Genomic DNA, 23,473 nt, shown 5'->3' on the forward strand with positions numbered 1-23,473 from the left:
GAGAAGCCTTCTGCGAGCAATGTCAGTGATTGCACCTGCCCAGTGTGCTGTTAGGCCTTCAAAATCTACTTCCCAGAGGAAATGCTCTAGACATCTGATCATGAAAGATAAGAATATTTTGCTTCAAGACTTTTGCCACTTTCCTATTGTGAAGTATATTTTGTGGTCCTGCACTTCTGTGTTCCAGGAACTCCTAGGAAATTTTTCTGGTTTTCTAATCCTATATCACAAAATGCCACAAAATCTAGCTACTTAAAAAACAACCATTTTATTAAATTCTGCACACTTGAGGTTCAGGAATTTGGGAAGGCTTTTCTAGGTGGTGCTTTTCTCCATATGGCATAAATAGGTGTCATGGGGCTGGTCTGAATAGTCACAGGTCACAGGTTGAGAGACACTGAACAAAGAGTGAGAGCTGATTTTAACGATGAGGATTCTATACTTCAAGTTGATGTTATAATGGAATGAGACGTCTGAGAACCTTGAGAGGAGTTATTTCACATTTGGTAGGGAAATAAAAAATCGTTAGAGGCCAGAGGGTGAACTTTGATAGTCATTTAATATCAGTTCCAATGATCCCTATCTCCTGGTATTCCTGCCTCTTTTCTAATAAGCAGAATATAGCAAAAGTTGCGGAATGTCATTTTCCACGATTAGGTTTTAAAAGACTTCTGTCTTGCTAGTAGGCTCTCTCTATTGCCTTCTCAGCATGTGTGTTTTTGCCTTGCTGGAGAAGCCCATGTGGCAATAAACCGAGGGCAGCCTGTGGCCAATAGCAAATAATTGAGGTCTTCAGTTCAATGACTTGTGAAGAACCGAATCCTGCCATTAACTGTGTGATATTGGAAGCAAATCTTTACCCAGTTGAGATTTGAGATGGCCAAAACCCAGCCAACAACTTGCTTGCAGCCTGTGAGACACCGTGAAGAAGAGGTCCAAGATAAATTTGCCAGATTCTTGATGCGGAGGAACTACAAATAACAAATGTGTTTTTTAACTTAAGATTTGAGGTAATTTGTTACTCATCTAAAACTAATGAAGAACAATTACTGTCTTTCATTTTTCTTTTCTCTGACTAGTGGTTTAATTTTTACTGTAGCTCGGCTTCTTCATAAGGTGGAGGTCATGGTCTTTAACTGCTTTACATCTTATAGCACATTCTTTCCCTAACTGACTAGAATAAGCATTTAAATAGGGATATGGATGAAGCTAGAAACCATCATTCTCAGCAAACTATCACAAGGAAAAAACCAAACACGGCATATTCTCACTTACAGGTGGGAATTGAACAATGAGAACACTTGGGACACAGGAAGGGGAACATCACACACCAGGGCCTGTTGTGGGGTGGGGGGAAGGGAGGAGGGATAGAATTAGGAGAAATACCTAATGTAAATGACGAGTTAATGGGTGCAACACACCATCATGGCACATGTATACATATGTAACAAACCTGAACGTTGTGCACATGTACCCTAGAATATAAAATATAATAAAAATAAATAAATACATAAATAAATAAATAGGTAAATCAAGTCACATCATTGACCTTCTTAAACTCCTCACTTCCAATGGCTTCTCATTATACTTAGAATAACATACAAACTTTCCACAGATAAAGACCTTAGATGAGTTATTGCTTCTTTCAATCCCCCATACTTTATTTGGTTTACTGCCCTCCCCCACACAAACTCTCTCCTTATCACTTTCTGTCCACTCTTGTATTATTATTTTTTTTTTCTGAGCATGCACACTCAGCTATGTTCTGCTCCACTAGGCCACTTGAACTTCTACATCTTAGCTTCAGTTGTTCTTCTACATCTTAGCTTCAGTTGTTCTTCTCTCTGGTCTTTGCTTCCCTGGATCTTTTCATCCTTTTAGTTATGCCAGAAACATTGCCTCCTTAAAGACCTGTTCCCACATTCAAGCTAGAGAAGAACCAAGTTTCATGACAACTTGTATACATTTGTCTGATTAATTTTCTACATAAAGTTTAATTGCTATGTCACATCATCTTAGCTGCACACAGAACTACTAATAATTTCCCTCCCATTAGACTATAAATTGCATGAGACTGGGGCCTGATCTTCTGTATTTCATTGCTATAAATTCAGGATTTGTTAAACAAATAATGAGTTACCCATTAATTAATTATAAGTGATATTTACATACAATGTTATACAATGTTATATGTTATACTTACAACACAGAGGATTATTTCTTTTTTTGCAGACAAGGCTTTTTGAGAAACCAATATAAGATTGGTAGTGGCTTGGAATAGAGATTTGTTAAAGGGAATTTGATAGAATTATTTTCTTAAATATAACTTTCATGGAGCTTATAGGAATTGCATTTGTGTTGGATACAGTTTCTTTTGAATAATGCTAGGGATATACCAGCTGAATGTCATTTTGCAATTTGTGTCCAAGGAAGAGGATCATAAGTTTACTTTTGGACAGTGAACACCAAAGGGCCTTGGAGACATCTACATGTATATCACAAATGAAGGTTAGATACTAGATTTCTCATACACGGAAGAGTGGTTTGGTATAATGTAACATCTTTCTATGTTTTATGTAGGGAATAAAACTGAAACCATGGAATGTATTGGGTCTCCTAAAGAGAGTATAGGGAAAGCAAAAATAGATTATGAATGAACTTTGATGCACTCCATTATGTAAAGTCCTGGGGATAGGAGAGTAGTCAACAAAGGAGATGGAAGAAAGGTCAGACATATTGGAGGCAAATCATAAGCAAATACTAAAGGAAATAATATTTCCAGAAGAAGATAGCAGCAACATATATCCACAGTTAAGGTGTCAGATAAGGTAAGGATAAAATTTGTCCTTCATTTTAAAGGCATCAAGATCATTAAAAACTTAACAGAAGAACTTTCTGTGAAATGGGAGGCTAAAGCCAAACTGCAGTGAGTTGAAGAGAGAACAGAAAAGTCAGAACTAAAATTGTAGACCTGAAAAAAATTGAAGAAAGCTGAGATCCATTTGGTGGTGATGACAATGTTATTGACATGATTCCTATGAGCCTTTTGCATCTCCTTTTCAGGAGAAGGAAAGTCTGGACATTTTGTCTAATCTCCATATGGTGAAAGCCAATTCAGCCTTTGATGTATATTTTCATCTGAATTATTTTCTTCGGTTGCATTTATTAGTCTTTGTTTCCCAACATCTGTTTCCTCTTCTTTATTCTTTAATAATAGGCCAAGAGTAAAGGAAATCATCCAGGAACTGACACTGAATTGAAATAAACCTGGAAGTGACATTCCACCTTCAGCTTTTACAACATCTATTGTGTCCCTCTGAAGAAGTAACTTAACTGTTTAATAAGCTGGTTTTACAAACTATCTAAGCATTCTTCAATTCCCCGAATTCCACGTGACTATTTGAAGCCTACATTTTACTTACAGCTGTTGTGAGTAATTTGCATTTTTAGTTGTGAAATATGGGCATAGATAAACAATTAACCAAACTTCTAGGGAGCTTTTTCATTTAATTATTAGAAGTCTACCCATTATTTTTCTTCAACAGAAAAATAATTAACATATGTTATATTTTCTACATAGATTTTAATGTTCTGCAAATAAGTTGAAGTTCTATCTAGGTAAACACCACAAGCATATAAAAATGATTAATTCAAATAAAACCAAAAAAGGTCATATTGCCTTTTATAATAAATATTATAAAGTTGTTATTGTATTTTAATGTATACAAGCCTCTCAGTTCCTATGTCCAGAATACTATAAAAGCTGCCATTTTATTTTCCAGATACAAAAAAACCCATAATATTACCCTACATTGAGCTAGGGAATTTAGCCTTAATTATTAGTTTCATAACAAAATGATTTTTCCCTGTGAAATGTAGAGACAAAGAAAGACTTTTGTGAAAATACAGTTTGTTCTTTTTTTTTTGGCAAACTACAATCTGAATTTTCCATCAGCATTTCAAAATAAGTTTTTCAGTATGAGAGAAGAAAGACAATGCAGCCGCCCACTCTCCCTGATCCCTGCTGTGCTTCCCAAATGATGCTTTTGGCATTTGTACTTTGCTGTAGCAAAGAAATAAACTAAAACTAAAGTTCAAGCAAGGTCTAATTCTGTAATACTATCTGTAACTGTTAAGTGAGCAACATAAGGCTGAGACACATCTAAATTAATCTTTTGGCACCTGTCTTATAATTTCTCCCCTAAACTCAGTGATCTTATGTAGATGGTATACTTTAGAATAGGTATTATTGTTAAATTTATGAACACAAATACAAGTTCACACATATGAATTCTGAAGAAAATAAGATGCTTTAAAAAAAAAACAAAAAACAAGAAAACATACTAACCAAATAAATATGGATGACGTTATCTCTATGGCAACCCTAAAAAATCATTTTTGGTATACTAGTGCTATAGCAGACTTGTTATAATTCAATAATTTATTATGAGAAAGGCAAAGTATACCTTTGGTGAATATTTACCCACGCTACCTAATTCTACCAACATAGCCTGAATAATTTTAATAACTTACTTACGACCACACAGTTTTCTTGGAGCAAGCACATCCAGGACTAGCTTCAAATCTGACTCTTCACTCATCACTATCATGTAACATATATCAATACTAATTGACCATCTGAATCCCATTTTTATTCCTCAGAATACAAATGCCAGAACACCAGTCTCTTGCATTCTATTCAGTAGGCCTGGGGAGTGACAAAGTCATATCTGATTATGATACACAGACAATTTGGGAAAGAACTGTTTAATATTCAAAACTTGTTTAATATGGTCACAATAGGTCACAAGATGTTAATCTTACTTGTTGAAATAGATTTTGTTTAGAATAGTTCTATCCAGACTGGGATAGGTAGCATCCTTAAGGCATGTTATATATAGCATAGAATTCTCATTTCATCACTTGACAGCCAATATTTTCCTGTTCTTACAGCTTTTTCTCAGCACACATATTGCTGCTAAGAATTCTGATTCTCATTAGAAAATATTAGTGTGTAATAAGATACATTTAATGTAAATATGTGTGTTTACCTTTTCCTGAGTACTAGTGTTTCCACTGAGTAAAGCATTTAACATGTCTTGCTGATCTTTTCCTAACAGCCCAAACTTTAGATGCCTAAGCCTCTTTTCATAGAAAGTAGAAGGTGAAAATGTCCTTTTTGCTTTGCCTTTGTCTCTATCAAACGACCCAATTCTAGTTGTGGTTCAGTGTTTAATAATCTCCTATATCCTGTGTAGGAAAATAGCAGGCATAAAGATACAGTGTTGGTTTTATGAAAGTATTAATATATTTTTACTACTAATAAACATATTTATATGAATATAATTATGTGAATGTTTGTGTCCCACCAAAAATTGATAAGCTAAAAACTAATTGCCAATGTGGTTGTGATGATGTTAGCAGATGGGGCATTTGGGAGGTGATTAGGTCACCTGAGATGATTAGGTGACCTAAAGGTGGAACTTTCATATATATGGGGTTAGTGCCCTTATAAATTCACCAAGTGAGGATGTAGCTAGAAGGTTTCATCTATGAACCATGAAATGGGCTCTTGTCAGACACCAAATCTGCCAGCACCTTGATGTTGGAATCCACAACCTTTAAAGCTGAAAGAAATGTGTGTGTGTGTGTGTGTGTGTGTGTGTGTGTGTACACAATATATATACACACACAGGAAAACAAACAATATATATGAAATATGTATTTATATATAAATGTATATATAAATATACACATATACTGATATATAAACATACATATATGAAATATATATAGTTTATTTGCTTGTTTGTTTACAAGCTGCCAACTCAATGGTATTTTTATAGCAGTTTTGTTATAGCAAGGAAGGGCAAGGCAGCTCTAAACATGACCTTGTGTGTGTGTGTAATTATTAAAGAGCACAGTTTTTGTGTCACAGAGCCATAGGCTTCTATCCTGTCTCTGCTAGTGTCTAGTTTGATTTTTTACTCAAGTTACTTAGATTCTCTAAAGTTTTCATTTCCCAGTCTGTAAAATTATAATATTTATTTTACAAATTGTTGCAAATATTAAATGTGAGGAAGTATGTGAAATTTTTAACATACTTCTCAGGGTATATGTTTGGTTGTAACGATTATTAATTGATCAATGATATTTCATTATTGTATGAATCAGTCTAATAACTGAGGATAAATGAATATATTAGAAGAACACTTTGATACAGAAATAAAGAGAAAGAGAAAGCTATGGAGTAAAGCATAGGAATCATGGAATCCATAGACTTTTCTTAATATTTTCCACAATAATGATAATCTCCTTTGAAAATTTCATCTGCCTTTCATCCACATGTTATTCTGCTCAAGATTCAATTTTCTGAGAGGAAGAGTATGATTGGTCTACTTGGGTCACATGCACTCTGCAAGGGAAAAGGGAAGGAGCATGCAGAGTGGTAGATCTCTGATGTACAGTTCCATAAATAACACAGGGGGTATGAAAATTACTCCACAAAGGAAAAGAAGAAAATTTTTTTTAAAAAACAGGGATATGAGAGACTGGTTGGAACCACAGATATCTATTATATCCACCCCTTGTTTGTTTACAATTAAAAAATACACTCACACAGAAATAACTCTTTTCCTCACTACAGTTTTAAAATTTTAAAATGCTCCCACTCTCCCCAATTTATATAATTGTTTTATTGTGCCTGCATGTATACACACACCCATAAATGCACTCTGCTTATCTTATTTCTACAGGGTGACAGCCTAAATCCATTGACAATCCCTTCACCTTGGGTGATGCCTTGGGTGATTTTCTTACGGTATGTTGTAATGCAATGTAATAGTCTATAAACTGTAGACATAAATTTATCTACCTAAAATACACTTTATATACTAGTAGAAATAAGATTAGTTGAAAATCAGTGCCACGCATAATTAAAAATATATTTGGATTATGAAGTGAAGGTATGAATCTTTTTTCTGCAACTGGTTCCCAAGCTATAATTGATTTTTTTCATATGGTATAGATCAATACATTCATTAAGCCACTTTTGGGCGTTAGCTTCCTCCAGAGTCTGAAAAAAAAAAACAACCCACCCAACAAACATTCAAACAACCAACTAACAAACCAAATTCACTTCTCAGATGACCTTGTAACTAGGTTTTGGGTTATGATTTAATTTCCACCAATTGTAGCACTTGTGTGAAATGCCAATCTTGCGTGAAGTTTAAAAGGTAAAATTGAGTTGGAAATGCCTTTCTACTGGTTCTCCTGACATGCTGTTCATGTCAGTCATGGAGATGCTGTGTTTTCTAGTGTCAGCATGCAAAGGGGAGGTTCATGTGTTCCTTGATTGATTACCCTCGCAGATTCAGCAGTTGACATTGTTGTTGCATCAACAGTTGCAGGAATGATAGTAGTTTCTGTTTATCTAAATTGAAGTTAAGGGAATTGAACGATGAGAACACATGGACACAGGAAGGGGAACATCACATACTGGGGCCTGTTGTGGGATAGGGGGAGCGGGGAGGGAAAGCATTAGGAGACATACCTAATGTAAATGATGAGTTAATGGGTGCAGCACACAAACATGGCACATGTATACATATGTAACAAACCTGCATGTTGTGCACAGGTACCCTAGAACTTAAAGTATAATTAAAAAAAAAAAATCCTATGTTCCTGAATATAATCATCTCAAATGCTGTTTCTTGATTTCCCTACCTCACTGATTGTGGCAGAGGTAACAACTTTCTGAACCAGGTCTATAAGTTTATTTATGCTTTTTCACTGAGAGTGTGAACCAAACCTTTTCAAAGTAATCTTTGTAATCTAACTATAACATTGGACATTGTACAGAAAAGACGGCATCCCGGTCACCTGGGTTCCAACTGTACTTTTCTAGGTTTCTACCTAATGGTAGTTATCTTACTGTTCTTTATTACTGTTTCATTACTACAAAATACTCCATCTGTATTAGTTCATTCTCATGCTGCTAATAAAAACATACCTGAGACTGGGTAATTTATAAAGGAAAGAGGTTCAATTGACTCACAGTTCAGCACGGCTGGGAGGCCTTAGGAAACTTACAAGCATGGCAGAAGGGGGAGCAAACACGTCTTTCTTGACATGGTGGCAGCAAGGAGAAGAAGAATGAGACTCCAGTGAAGGGGGAAGCCCCTTATAAAACCATCAGATCTCATGGGGACAAATTCACTATGACAAGAACAGGATGGGAGAACTGCCCCATGATTTAATTATCTCCACTTATGAGAACTACAATTCAAGATGAGATTTGGGTGGGGACACAGCCAAACCATATCACCAACCAACAATGAAATATCTTTTTCTCCCTATTGTTTAGTGTTGCACATAGCACGTAGTGACCAGCTCTTAGATCCCTAACCATTGGAGCTATTGTTGGGTCCACTAGTAGAAAGTGTTTATGTCTTGGACAATAAAAATCTAAAAATCTGTAGAATCTGAGGTCCTTGGAAAAATTAACAATATTATGGAGGTATATATTTGAGTATAAACCTGAAGTCACCACCAACCCCAAACATTGGTTCTGGGACCCATTCATTCTATCTATAGGAAAAACTGCATTGTTAATTGTCATTTGAATCAAATCACAATGGATAAATTTGTGTCATTACACAATTTAGTAAAATTAACTGATATGGTTTGGCTGTGTCCCCACCCAAATCTCATCTTGAATTGTAGCTCCCATAATCCTGTGTCATGGGAGGGTAATTGAATCATGGGGCAGTTACTCCTATCCTACTCTTCTTGTGATAGTGAGTTCTCACAAGATCTGATGGTTTTATAAGGGGCTTTTCCTCCTTTTGCTTGGAGCTTCTCCTTGCTTCAGCCATATGAAGAAGGATGTGTTTGCTTCCCCTTTCACCATGAATGTAAGTTTCCTGAGGCCTCCCCAGCCATGATGAACTTTGAGTCAATTAAACCTCTTTTCTTTTTAAATTACCCAGTCTTGGGTATGTTTTATTTAGCAGTGTGAGAACAGACTAATACATTAACTTTATTTAGATGATAAAGTAGACAGTACTAGAGAATCCAAAGGGGATAAGGGTGTTGCTTCAGTTTTTCCATTGGAAAATCTATCTGAGTGAAGTCAAAATTATATAAGAGAACAGGAGAGCATATGAGGTATCTAGTAAATTCATTAGTAGAGGTGCCGACAAAAGCATTTAGAGGCAGATGAAGTACATCATTGCCAGAATAAGGTCTATTTTAGGAAAGAAAACTAACTTCAACTTTTAATATAAAAGGTATTAATACGTAGGATAGTAGCTTGCCTTCAGAATGGTCTCTTAAAGACATGGTGCCATATCGAGACTGTAAGTTTTTTTTTTTAACTTATTTTTCACTGCTGGAAATATACACTGTAAATCAGAGTAGTCAGGTCAGTCCCAGTGAGTAGAAATCCCTTAAAAACCCACATCTCTGCCATCTTGGACACTTTTAAGAGCCCATAAAACATGCACTGAGCTGGATGGCAAGAGTACTGATTCTTCATTTATGGAGTAGATCATTTTATCCCTTTGATTGTTAAGAATCTCTAATACAGAGGGGATTTAAAAATAAGCTTTTAAAAGGAATATGAATATCCTCATTCTCTGAGCCCATTCCAAAGGGGTACATTTCTCATCCACTCCATCTTCTGGCAAGCAAAATGAGGCCCAGTACAATAATAAATTGTTTACACTCAACTTGTGCTTATCTGCTTATTCTAGAGAAATTAAATGCCAAGAAGTTTAGGAGAGTGAGATTCTATAATTGGGAATTAGCTTGGATTTCTCAAAGTGTGAATTGGGCCAAAAACATTTTTGAGGTTCTGTTTGACCTGAAATGTAAGTATGTAGAAACTGGAAATTCTAGCTAAATAAGTAAAGATGAAATATAAGCACAACAATCTCAACGATAAACTTATGTCTCATTAACTTTGGTGGAGATAAATTTCCTGATAGCTTTCTTTATTTAATTCATAGTTTCACAAAACATCTTAAGGAGATATTTCTTTTGCAATGTAGACATTAATTCTAGAAGGGGTAAGGGTGGAGAGATAAGCTACTCAACTGAAATTTTTCTTATGTTTAAAAAATAATAATTATATTTACACAAATAAACTCACAAAACAAAAGTGACAGATGGTTAAAAAAGAATTAAAGCAGCACAGTAAATAGATCTATTTCAAGGATTTATAGAATGTATTTTTAGCACACTTTGATGAAATATATATAAAATTGGTGATATAATTTTAAATAGATTTCCACTTACCTTGGAAAATATAACAAACATGTACAATTGACACTCTGCATCCACTGATTGTGAATTCTCAGATTCAACAAACTGTGGATTAAAAATACTTTAAAAATAAAATTAAAAACCATAAAAATAATTTAAATAAGAAACAATATAGTATAACAATTACTTATGTAACATTTACATTAAATTCGGTATCATGAGTTTCTAGAGATAATTTAAAGTACATATATGGGAGGATGTTTGTAGGTTATATTCAAATATGATTCCATTTTGTTGGGGGTTCCTGGAATCAATCCCCCTCAGATACTGAGGAACTACTGTAGTGTGAAATTTGTTGGATTTAGTAGTAAATAACTCTCCATTTGAACTTAGTGCACATTCTTGGTTCTGATCATTTTAATATGTCAGTGTGATAGGGAATTTTAGAAGAGCTTAGAGTGTTTCTTTATCCTTAAAAATGAAAGTCTGTTTATTCCCTTCAAAGGAAAACTTTTCTTGCTACCTAGCCAGTGGAAAAAATATTCTTAAATCAATGTGTTTCTTATATTTTTAAGGAGGTATTTCTGCAGGCTCCATAAGATCTTTAGTAGGAGAGGATTTTATAACCATGATGTATAAATGTTTGTAGTTGAGGGTTGTGTAACTTGCAGCATAACTTAAATCTCTTGAGGTCTTTGTCTGAAGCCTACACAGTGGGCTTTCAGATTTTGTCTGAAAGTCCTACAATGACTTTGTTTTGTTTGGCCTTTTGAAGTGTATTTTCAATGACCCAATATGTCCTTGATAGTAAGCCAGTATGTTATATCCCTCCAATTAAGCCTTACATTTAGCAGGGAAGGAGGGAGGCCAAATATGAATATTGGCCTGTCCAAACTTTGATCCTTAAGATTACTTTTTTTCGTTTTCAGCAGTAATACACACTTGACTGTTGTCTTACATGTTGGGTACCGACTGAGGTACTTTCCAACTAGTAAGGTAGTATTTGTCACTATAAATTAAATGGTCGAAATGAATATTTAAAGTACTTCAAATATATTACATATACTTCGTTATTCTTATGAATTGTTTTAAGGTTGGGATTTAGCACACAGAAAACACTTTGCAAACTCTTTAACTTCTAATGAAGGAGACTTCTGATGGGATGCTGAGTAGAATCGAGAACATGCCTCCATCCCTACCAAGTTTCATACTTAAAAGTTCAAACATACAGCATTGAAATTAAAATATATATCAAAGAGAAGATATAACTGTAAAAAAAGAGAAAAGGAGAGGAGAAGGGGAAATCTTCAGGCACTTAAAGGGATTCCTAGCTGTGGCAGTAAAATGGAGTTGAAGCTGTATGGCTCACAGGGGAACAGGGGCCAGAACAGACCTGAGAGCCTGCGATATTGTTCTTGAGGGATCCAGAGTTGTAATTTGAAGCCTTGCTATGACAGAACTGTATCTGATCTCCCTTAATAAAGTCAACAGCTTAGAAAGAAATGCATACTCACTGAAATTTCCAACTGCTGGTTAAATTGTACCTATGAGAAAAATTGGACCTGAGCTATGACCAACCATTCAGGAGAGTGAGTTTCAGTTTCACAATACCTGTGTAACTGACTTGAAACTCTTCGGTCAGATGGGATGGATTCATCCCTCAGGCATGTGGATTGTTTGTTTCTTTGGGTATTTTATCTTTATTTACAGCTTCCTCTTTGTTTTAAACCTAAAGAGTACTGATGAGCAATGTAAGGGGACTATCCGGGAAAAGTATACCACTCAAAATACAATAAGAGTAATGATCATCACTAAGTAGAGCAAGATCTTTGCTCTGAAACCATCTTCTCATAGAGATCTTTCCTCGCTGCCCTATATAACACAATGCACAGCCACATTACCATGTGTTATTTTTCTGTTTATCCCTCATATACATCTGATATATCAAACATTTGTTTATTTGTTGTCTGTTTTTTTTAATATTCTATTGAATATAAGCTTTGTCTTTATCTATCAGGGTTATTTGTACATTGCTACATATCCAGAATGCAGAAACCATTTCTGGAAACTAGAATGCACTTAATAAATCTTTGCTAAAATTATTGAAGGCAAGTTTGATCTTAATTTGACAATAAATATAATAAACATTGCCCATCAATTTAAATATGAATAATTTGAGTCTGAGGACAAGATAATACTGAAAATTTATAGCTCAATATAGTGTTTTCTACATAACTTATTTTATGTTCTTTGCTAATCAGAAAATGACAAGACTCAGACAGAGAATGGAACTGAAAAATTACAAAATATTTAAAATGAAATTAGCTTTTTACTGGCCACTGTTAAGTATTCACTACCAAGTATGAATTCTCATGTCAAGCTGAGAGTTGAGAATGGTCAAGAAATGCAGGTGAGAAGATTTTGCTAAGGAAAGAATATCTTAAGTGCCAATGTCCAAAATTACATCACAGCTTGCTAAGGGCAGAGCATATGTATCTGTTGGTGATATCCAGTTTTAAGCACAGTCCACCTGATGATAGCATCCATGTTTGGAGTCAATTTATCAAGCAAATATCTTGGTAGATGTCTACCTAACTCACCTCACTGATGTATTAAAGCAGTATGTAAAGTAGCTAAAGATGGTATGATACAGCAGCAAAATTTCATAATAAAAAAACAGTATTTTTTCTACTAATATATTATAATATAGAGGAGAAACCAGAAAATCAGAAGAAACAACAAAACATCTCAAATACAAAGAACCACAAAAATTGGACACATTAATTATGATTGTGATCACTCTTTACATTGTACCTAACTTTACAAGAACACAAATAATTGGTCAGAACCACCATGAAGCTTTTCACATTTTTTGTTGCTTGTAATTGTGTATTGCTCTCTTCTGATCTTCTAAACTATACCCACTAAGAATATATTATCACCTTGCCACAAGACATTTTACTAGCACCTAGTCTTTTCCATGAATGTGTTGCTCAGTTTATACTTGAAAACAATGTGATTAGTCACAATGTACATAATTTTTATAGGTTTGATTAGGCTTAAGATACAAGATTAAAAAGATTTCTCTAAATTTTTCATCATATAATGAATTTTTAGTAACAACTTATACAGTATTTGAGTTCTTAATACTTGTATTTACCAATTACTTTAATTTTTTTCTTAGTTATACTGACTTCACATTGTTCCTTTATTTATTTTTATTTATTTGTTTGTTTGAAACGGAGTCTTGCTCTGTCGCCCAGGTTGGAGTGCAGTGGCACGATCTCGGCTCACTCCAAGCTCCGCCTCCTGTATTCACTTCATTCTCCTGCCTCAGCCTCCCAAGTAGCTGGGACTACAGGTACCCACCACCACGCCCGGCTAATTTTTTGTATTTTTAGTAGAGACGGGTTTCCTCCATGTTAGCCAGGATAGTCTTAATCTCCTGAACTCGTGATCTGCCTGCCTTGGTCTCTCAAAGTGCTGGGATTACAGGCGTGAGCCACCTAGCCCGGCCTGCTCCTTTTTTAATTGTTGCTTTTGTTTAATTTCGACATCTATTTTATGTCATTATCCCTAGTGGAGATTTCCATGGCTACGTTCACATCTAATGATGATTCTTCTGAGGTTGCTTCTTCCTTTTCTTCCTCCTCTTCTTCTTTGCTTCAAAGCATCCATATTATTCAGAGGCATAACCCACTTAGTTTTTGCAAGCCAACCTTCTACATAACACTTGTTTGAAGTATCTATATTTTTATTGAGTTTAACTTAAGGTTCATGATCAATTATCTTTGATTTTATGCAAAATATTATGTAAGACTGAACTATAATGAAAGAAAGATCAAAGTATTATCTCTAAATAATTTTTCCCAGGTTTCTCTGGATCCTGAACCTGAAGTTTTATATCCCAGAATTGTTGAGTCTCAGAGTCTCGACACCAGAATCATCCAACAAATCTCTTTGACCACGAAGTGTCCTGGGCCTTATCATTGGCCTGCTGATTTGATCTCTGGAGAGAGGGGCCTACATCTAAGCTCCTACAGTGATTTTAGTGCACACTATATTTTGAGAACCAATGAGTCCAGGAGCTCTAGAAACTTCACATATAGAAGAATATGTGAAAAGATTTCACATATTGTATTTGTATAACCATTTGTATTATGGTTATAATTAGATTTTTTATTTGCCTTTTAAGGGTCTTTAATGTAAGTAAAATTGAGTAAAGAGGTACATGTTTAGCCTTCACAGTCTACCATAGTAGCACAATAATTCAAGTCCCAACTAGGTATGTAGATACCACATAACACAAGCTGAAATTTGCCATCTTATGACAAGGAGATTCTTATTTTTAGATAAATATATACCAATTAATTCTGTTGGTAGAGGAGCTAAAAATTGTATTATCTATAAGCCTGGCATAAGAGAGCTGTATGATGATTTACTGATACAATATTTCTAGATATTATACAGAATATTGTATTTCTAGAAAATATACAATAATTCTAGATATTACAAGTAGTATCACTAAGAATAGGAAGCATTCATGGATGGTAATTTATTGTTAGTAGGTATTTCCTTTGTAAATAATTGTTTCAGTATATTTAAATCTCACAAGAAAACTTTTATGTATGGAATAAATATTTCACAGAGGAAAACAGAGTGTGTAGCAAAGTTCTGAGTTTTAAAATTTTACACATTTCATCGATTCAGTATTTCTGTCTTTTTGGGAGGGTGGGGTAGAAGAATTAAAAACATCAAGATTTGACTTTGGAAATGGGAAGCTATTGTTATTTATTCATAACTGAAGGAATCTCACAAATTATGGTCATTGAAAGTGGCTTTGAAATGTGCCTTGGAGGTTTAGCTCCCTCTTAGAGGAATTAATTCCTTATTCTTTCACACAGGACTGTGGGGGCATGAAATTTAGCCATTCATTTTGAGGCTATTCATTAAATGTGTGTGTTGTCATGACATTATATGATAGAGGTGGTTGAATTTATAATCTTTCTTATCTGCATATGATTTTCAGAATGTCAAGAAGGATTATTCTGAGGATGTGCCTGTGGTCATAGCCACTAACCAAATGCGGGGGAAGTGTGGGTACAAACTCTAAATGCATACGCATATTTCTTGGGAACCCTCAAATACTCAATTAAAGATAAGTATAGAAAATATTTTATTTCTCTTGTTATAGGTTTACCATAGTGTGAAGGCTTTTGAAGAGGAGCAGGAAGAATGGATGGCAGAGCATTATTTTAGCCTTTGCCTCCTATTAAAATATGTATTGACTCTCTGAATAGTGCTTGTATAATATACAAATCAAATAAGTTTTTTGAACCTTAGTAAACACATTTTTGATGAACAGGTATGAAATATATCATGCAGATCTAAAATGTGTAGTGTACTAGTCAGAAAGGCACTTATTAAAAAGTCAAAAAATAATAGATGTTGGAGAGGTTGTGGAGAAAATGGAACATGTATCCACTGTTAGTGAGAAGTAAATTAGTTCAACTATTGTGGAACGCAATTTGGAGATTTATCAAAGATCTTAAAAAAGAACCAGCAATCTCACTAGTGGTTATATACCCAAAGAAAAACAAATTATCATACCAAAAGACACATGCACACATATGCTAATTGCCGCATTATTCACAATAGCAAAGATATGGAATCAACCTAGATGTCCATCAATGGTGGACTAGATAAAGAAAATGTGGTATAGGTACATAATAGAATACTATGCAGCCAAAAAAGAGAAGAAAATCATGTCTTTTGTAACAACACAGATGCAGCTGGAGGCCATAATCTAAGCAAATTACTGCAGGAACAGAAAACCAAGTACTACCTGTTCTCACTTATAAATGGGAACAAAATATTGAGTACACATAGACACAAAGATGAGAACAGGCACTGGGGACTACCAGATGGGGGAGGATGAAAGGAGGGCAAGGGTTGAAAAACTAACTATTTGGTACTATGCCCACTCCGTGGGTGATGGGATCATGTATACAACAAATCTCAGTAACATGCAATTTATCGATATAACAATCCTGCACAAATACATCCGGACCTAAAATAAAAATCAAAAGAAAAATAAACGTGCAGTGTGAAGATCAGAAAAAGTCTAAAGTAACTTAAAACATGTGAATTGGAGAATCAAAGTCTAGCCAAAGTTGGAATTTACACTGTAGTTGAGTGAAAGAAATACATAAGATCTTAGCACTTTGCAAATGTCAGTGAGGGCATTGGATGTGGGATGACTGACATCAGAGTTACACTATCAAAAATGTTAATAACCTTGCTATTTAATAATTTTAGTCATACAGACTTGAAATAAATTATTTTATGACATATAAACTTTATAAATTATTTTACAACAGATACGCATAATGGTTTACAAGAGATATAGATGTTTTTATAATAAACAAGTAGCAAATATACACTAAAGCCAACATTCTGCTACTCAGGACTTTAAATTTACCCTCTCCCTTATTTTAAATGCACTGTTACCATGCACGATGAATTTCATAGAAAAAATATGGTACATGTACATCTTGGAATACTATGCAGCCATGAAAAGGAACAAAAGCATGTCCTTTGTAGCAACATGGATGCGGTTGTGAGGGCCAAATGTTTTAGTAAGAGAACTTGATGAGGTTTACAAGAATGAGATACTCATATGATCTGTAAAATTATTCAATCCTACCTTGGTCTCATTTGCACTGATGGTTGGGAATTATCTGACTAGCTCATATTTTGAACACAGGGGTACAGGAGTCTCTTAAGCACACACAGAGAAAATAAAATTGCAGTCAAGGAAGATAATGAAGGCATTGCTCTACACAATTTAAGCATGTGTTGAGAGAGCAAATTCCATTCACTCTCTTGAATAATTTCCAGTGTCGTGTGTGCCTGCTTTATTTTTGTCATTAGCATTTAAAAATATTACATTCATCTAATAATCTAAGGTAAGTCTCTTAAGGTAACCTATATGTCCACGATTTTTTAAGTAATAACATTACTTTATATACTGCAAACTTATCCCTTTACTTTTATAATTTATTTGTAGTTAATCTTTGGGGCACTTTTATACCATGACTGACTTTTTTTTTGTTTCTTTTAAACACAATTTGTTCCCTTTTACTCTGAAAGAAAAAATAACCCTCATGAACTCTCCACTATTCTAAAATTTCAGTTTAACCTCCAAGTAGAGCATGCATTAAAAGACTAAATAGCTAAAATCAAATTATTATTTAGCATTCTGAATTTATTTTATGTTAGAGAAAAATTAAGCCATGAGTGTCACAATGATAAAAGACTTTCCACAGAATTCATATAATTGAGTAAAAATGAACTTCAATAATATATTTTAAATGCTATTTTTTAAAGTTTCCTCTCATGAAGGAACCATTTAAAATAAGGATTAATTGATATATGTAGCTATTCAAGAAACATAAAATCTTAAAAAAAGGCACCTGCTGCGAGACGTGGTGGTGGACTTTTTTATTCCCAGCTGCTTGGAAGGCTGAGGTAGGATGATTGCTTGAGTTCACGAGTTCAAGTTCAGACTGGGCAACATAGGAAGACTCCATCTCTAAAAAATAAGAAAAAAGCAAATGCATGTACTGTTATGTCTATAAAAAATTGAGAGACAAAAATGCTGAATATTTAAAATGTAGTTCTTATGTTTAAGTGAATGTTTATTCCTTTCATTTTAGAAATACTTATTAGATATATGTAGGAGGTCAACTACTGAAATGAAAGGAAAATAAAGCTGTCACTCACTACTTATTTACTTTTAGGTTTTAGATATTTTAAATCTTGTTTTGTCTTTTAAAATATAAAGAAAACAAGAGGAAATAACTATAACCAAATTTGTTATTTATTAGAGATTGTGCTAGAAGTTTTGAAATATACTGTCTTTAAATCTCTAAAATAATCAAATATGGTGCAAATAGACACATTTCTAATTTAAAATAATGAGGTTTCAAAGAATTATATGTCTTTGAAGACACATAGCAAGTGTGTGATAAATTTAGAAGAGCATATAGGATATATATAATATAGAAGAATAATAATAAACATGATGACTCAAATGAAATAATGCATATAACATTTTTAGTAGTCCTTGTCACAGAGTAGTCACATAAAAATATATTCCCTTGCTGTGGTTCTAATACAAAAGTACATAAAGCAGAAGGCAAATTTTCTAGAAGCAAAGTTTGGTTTGCCTGGATTCATAGCTTACTTCGTTTACTAGCTAAACAAATTATTCATAAAAGTATATATAAAGAAATAGAAAATAGGAATAGACTTATAACTAGTAACTAGATTGAATCAGTAATCAGAACTTTCCTTAGAAAGAGCCCTGGATCAGATAGCTTCAGTGAATTTTATGAAATATCTCAAGAACAATTAACAACAACCCTTCTCATACCCTTCTAAAAAAACTGAAGAGGAGGGAATACTTTCTAATTCATTTTATGAATTACACTGGTACCAAAGCCAGATGAGGACACCAAACAAACAAGAACAACCACAGACCAATATCTCTTATAAATATCGATGGAGACATCTTCAGCAAAATATTAACAAACCAAATTCAGCAGAATTTCTTCTTAACATAATAAATGTTATACATGAGAAAAGCCCACAGCTAATAACATACACCATGGTGAAGGACTGACAGCTTTTACTCTACTACCAAGAATAATACAAGAATGTCTGCTTTCTTCATTTCTATATAATCTAGTATTGGAAGGTCTAGCCAGACCAATTAAACAAGGAAAAGAAATAAAAGACATCCAAATTGGACAGGAAGAAGTAAAATTATCTATGCTGACAGGTGATGTAACCATATATATATATACTTATATATATATGTATATATATATATATGAACTGGAACGTTTGCACATTGTTGGTGGGATTTTAAAGTGGTGAAACTGCTGTGAAAAATCATATGGTGTTTTTTCCAAAGATTAAGCCTGGAATTACCGTATGATTCAGCAATTTCACTTCTACGTAAACATCCAAAATAATTTAAAGCAAGGTCTCCAACAAATGTTTGTATACCCATGTTTATAGCATGTATATATATATATATATATATATATATATATATAGCCCTAATAATTTCACAAAAAAACCTACTGAAACTAACACATAAATTCAGCAAAGTTGCAGGATATTAAGTGAATACATAAACATCAGGTGTATTTCTATACATTAACAATAAACAATTCATAAAGGAGATTAAGAAAACAATTACATTTACAATAGCATCAAAAAGAATAAAACTCAGGAATGTACTTAGACAAGAAGGTAAACGATTGGTACATTGTGAACTACAAAATATTGCTGAAAGAATTTTTTTAAACCATGAATACATGGAAAGATGTTTTGTGTTCATAGACTGAAAAAATTAATATTGTTAAGATGCCAATACTACCCAAAGTGATCTACAAATCAATGCAACCCCTTTCAAAATCCAAATTTAGTTTTGCTGAAATAGAAAAAACGCTATCCTAAAATTCATATGGAATCTCATATAAATTTAAATAATCAAATACAATCTTAGGAATAAAAAAGAACATTTGGAAGACTCTCATGCCTTAATTCTAAAACTTACTTTAAATCTGCAAAATCAAAACAATGTAGTATTTGCATAAAGATAAACATAGACCAACAGAATAGAATAGAAAGCCAAGAAATAAACTCTTATATATATGGTCAAATGATCTTTCAAGACAATTCAAAGGGGAAAACATAGCGTTGTCAAAAAATGGTTCTGGGGGACCTGGATTTCCATGTGGAAAATAATGAAGTTGAACACTTACCTTATACTATATAAAAAATTAACTCAAAATGGAGCAAAAACCTAAACAAGAGGTTTAACTCAAAACTATTAGAAGAATATATAAGGTAAAATCTTCATGATGATGGATTTGGCAATTGATTTATTGGATATGGGATCAAAAGCACAGGCAACAAAGAAGAGACAAGAATAAGACAGACTTCATCAAAATGAAAAGCTTTTGTACCATCAGGCACAAAACCCATAATAATAATAAGAGTGAAAAGGCAACTCACGAAAAAAGAAAATATTTGTGTACAATAAATTTGAAAACAGATTAATATCTAGACTATATAAATAACTCCTAAAACTCAACAACCAAAAATAAAATAAACAACACAATTGAAAATAGGCAAAAGACTTAAACATAGATTTCTCCAAAGGAGATATACGAATGGCCAATAAACACATAAAAAGACACACATCACTAATTAATGTCACGAGTTATTAGGGAAATGCCAATCAAAAGCATAGTGAGATACTACTTAATACCGATTGGAATGGCTATTATACAAACAGAAAAATATGTTGGCAAGGATGTGGAAATACTGGAATGTTTGCACATTGTTGGTGGGATTTTAAAGTGGTGAAACTGCTGTGAAAAATCATATGGTGTTTTTTCCAAAGATTAAACCTGGAATTACAGTATGATTCAGCAATTTCACTTCTAGGTAAACATCCAAAATAATTTAAAGCAAGGTCTCCAACAAATGTTTGTATACCCATGTTTATAGCAGCATTTTTCATAATACTCAAAAGATGGAAACAACCCAAATATCTACACATAAATGAATGGATAAACAAGAGATGGTAAGGACATACAATGGAATATTATTGAGCTTTTTAAAAGAATTAAATTCTAATACATCCTACAACATGAGTGAACCTTTCAAATGTTATTTTAAGAAAAATATGCCAAACATAAAAAGACAAATGTTTATTATTCCACTTATATAAGATGTATAGAATAATCAAATTCATAGAAACAGAAAATCGCATAGTGTTTACCAGGGATTGTAGGGAGATAAGTTACTGTTTAATGGGAAGAATTACAATTTGGAATGATGTAAAAGTTTTGAGATTCATGGGGTCATAGTTGCACAATAATGTGAATATATTTAATGCTACTTAATTGTACACATAAAAATTGTATCTTAGTAAATTTGGTTATGTGTATTTAGCAAAACTTTTTGAGAAAAAAATGGGGAAAATAGTCTAATGTTTATCTGCAGTTTTAATAAAGGAAGCAGAAACTTTGCTAATATTTGTTGAGATACCTAGACACTGCCTGTGTTATTATATAACTTTTTTCATATAATTCCCATAATAATCTATACCACATATTTTGACTACTTTTTTAGAGTAAGATGATGTTATGACTCACACTTTGACCCACAGTTACATTTTATGTAATTAGCAAATTCAAGATTTAATAAAATGTTTCTCTGTCTCCAACATTCATGTTCATTTTAAGCACACTTTGTCAAATTTAAAGGGATATACATTTTCCCACATTCAAACATTAAAAGAGTTTTCTTTAAATAAACTCTGTTCCTTTTACAGATAAAAGGGTTATGGTCATAATAAATTAGTTATTATGACCCACTTAATTGTCACAAGCAAAGAGATGATCACAGTTTATTTATGTTTTCAGTTTTATGTTTATTACATGTACTAAGTAATTTTACAAAAGTTTACAAAATTTCTCAATTACTAAACTAAAATAAAATCAACATACTTTATTTTAATTGCATGCATTCATAGGTCATTGTTATTGTAACAGATATAAGAATACTATAGGTAATACAAGTTATTTAATTTAGCACTTTGTGTCTCCTAGAAGCATAAACAATACCAAGCTTAGAAAGTTAGAGAGGAAAGCATTTTTGATTAATGTATTATTTCTATAAATGGGTACTCTCAGTTAACCAACTGAATACATAAACGGTGATTGAGCAAAGACTCATCACTTTTAATTCGTAAATATATCACAAATTATAATCTACTGGCAAATACATATTTAATAAATGTTGATTAACATGGATTTCTAAGTGGAGATGTTAGAGCATAGTCCACATATAAAGCTATCGAGACCTTTATATTTTCATTGTAAATTACTTTCTAGTAAATTTACTTAGTATGAACAACCTGTTTCCTTAGAAGGTCATGTCAAAATAGGATATCAGGGAAGAGTGGAAATTTCTTAAAAAGTAACCTAGAAGCTGACATTTAAGAAGTATTTTCTTTAGGAAATGATGTTTTATGTCTCTACCAGGACCTTTGATTTTCAAATGTGTATGATCCAATATTGCTCTCAAATTGGCAAGTGGATCAGACAGATATTTGCTTCACATTTTTATTTTTCATCCAAGGGATTAAGTAATACATAAGGATTATGGCTCCTTTTGAAAATAAGTAAAAATAATCTCTATAACAAGTTTCTCAATGTTCCATACTTTTAAGTTATTTGTTACTTTTTGTTTTCAAGTGTACTTTGAACATAACTAAATATGCATTCTCACATAACAGCTGCTGAAAAAAGTTTTATAACAATGTAAGATCAATATTAATTAATTATATTCATCAAAACCACCATCAAGCAACCAATAGATCAATAGAGCAAAATTGTCCTTCCCCTTAGTTTTAAACTACAGTAAATAATAAAAACAAAATGAAAGCAGATCATTTCAATTACTCCCTCCAGAGCCGCAATAGTGCAATTCTTGTTTGGTTACCTCATCGTCCTGGAGACTAGGTCTTCATTTAAATGCTAAATTAGTTATTTCTGGTTAGAAAATATTGAAATAATATTTCAATTGAAATAATATAGAAAAGTGAAAACAACAATCAAAAATTTCATTTAGATACAAAGCATAAGTTTAATGGATTAGATGACAAGAAACATATTTAGGTATCACAGACTATTTTTTCCTCCTTAGCAGAGTTTCTTTTAACAAAATACTGATATTATAAAGATTTATTACTAGATAAATTAGTACACAAACAAAATCTCTTCAGTAGACAACGGTTTTCTTTTTACAGCTTAGGTCTTTTGACAATTCAAATATTGTTCAAATGTAGAACTGGTTCTTTATTTGAAATTTTTAATAAAAGAAAGATGTCAAATGAATTTAGCGAGGAACAAAGGGACATAAAGGAACAAAGCAGCTGGTAAATGCAAGGGCCGCAGAGTATCTTTCCTGGGAAGCAGAGAAGACAAAGTACATGAGAAGTAGAAGGCAATGAGGGATACAGGCTGTGATAACGTAGCTCATTAGTGGCTAACAAGGAGGTCACCAGTAAATACAAAATAAATGAGATGGATGACACAATATGTAGGGTGGTAAGGAA

General features: G+C 33.2%; 1 long non-coding RNA gene across 2 annotated transcripts in view; it reads right to left on the reverse strand.

Moving 5' to 3' along the window:
• Positions 1-249: 249 nt before the first annotated feature.
• Positions 250-23,473, reverse strand: part of LOC102723364 (uncharacterized) — a 62,178-nt gene continuing 38,954 nt past the window's right edge. For both annotated transcript variants that reach the window (NR_188545.1, NR_188544.1), the window contains 2 exons: positions 17,742-17,860; positions 250-971 (listed from right to left, as the gene is read on the reverse strand). This is a non-coding gene — a long non-coding RNA (uncharacterized LOC102723364). The remainder of the gene's footprint in view (positions 972-17,741; positions 17,861-23,473) is intronic.

The sequence above is a fragment of the Homo sapiens genome, chromosome 3, assembly GCF_000001405.40.
Source record: "Homo sapiens chromosome 3, GRCh38.p14 Primary Assembly".
Classification (NCBI taxonomy): Eukaryota; Metazoa; Chordata; class Mammalia; order Primates; family Hominidae; genus Homo; species Homo sapiens.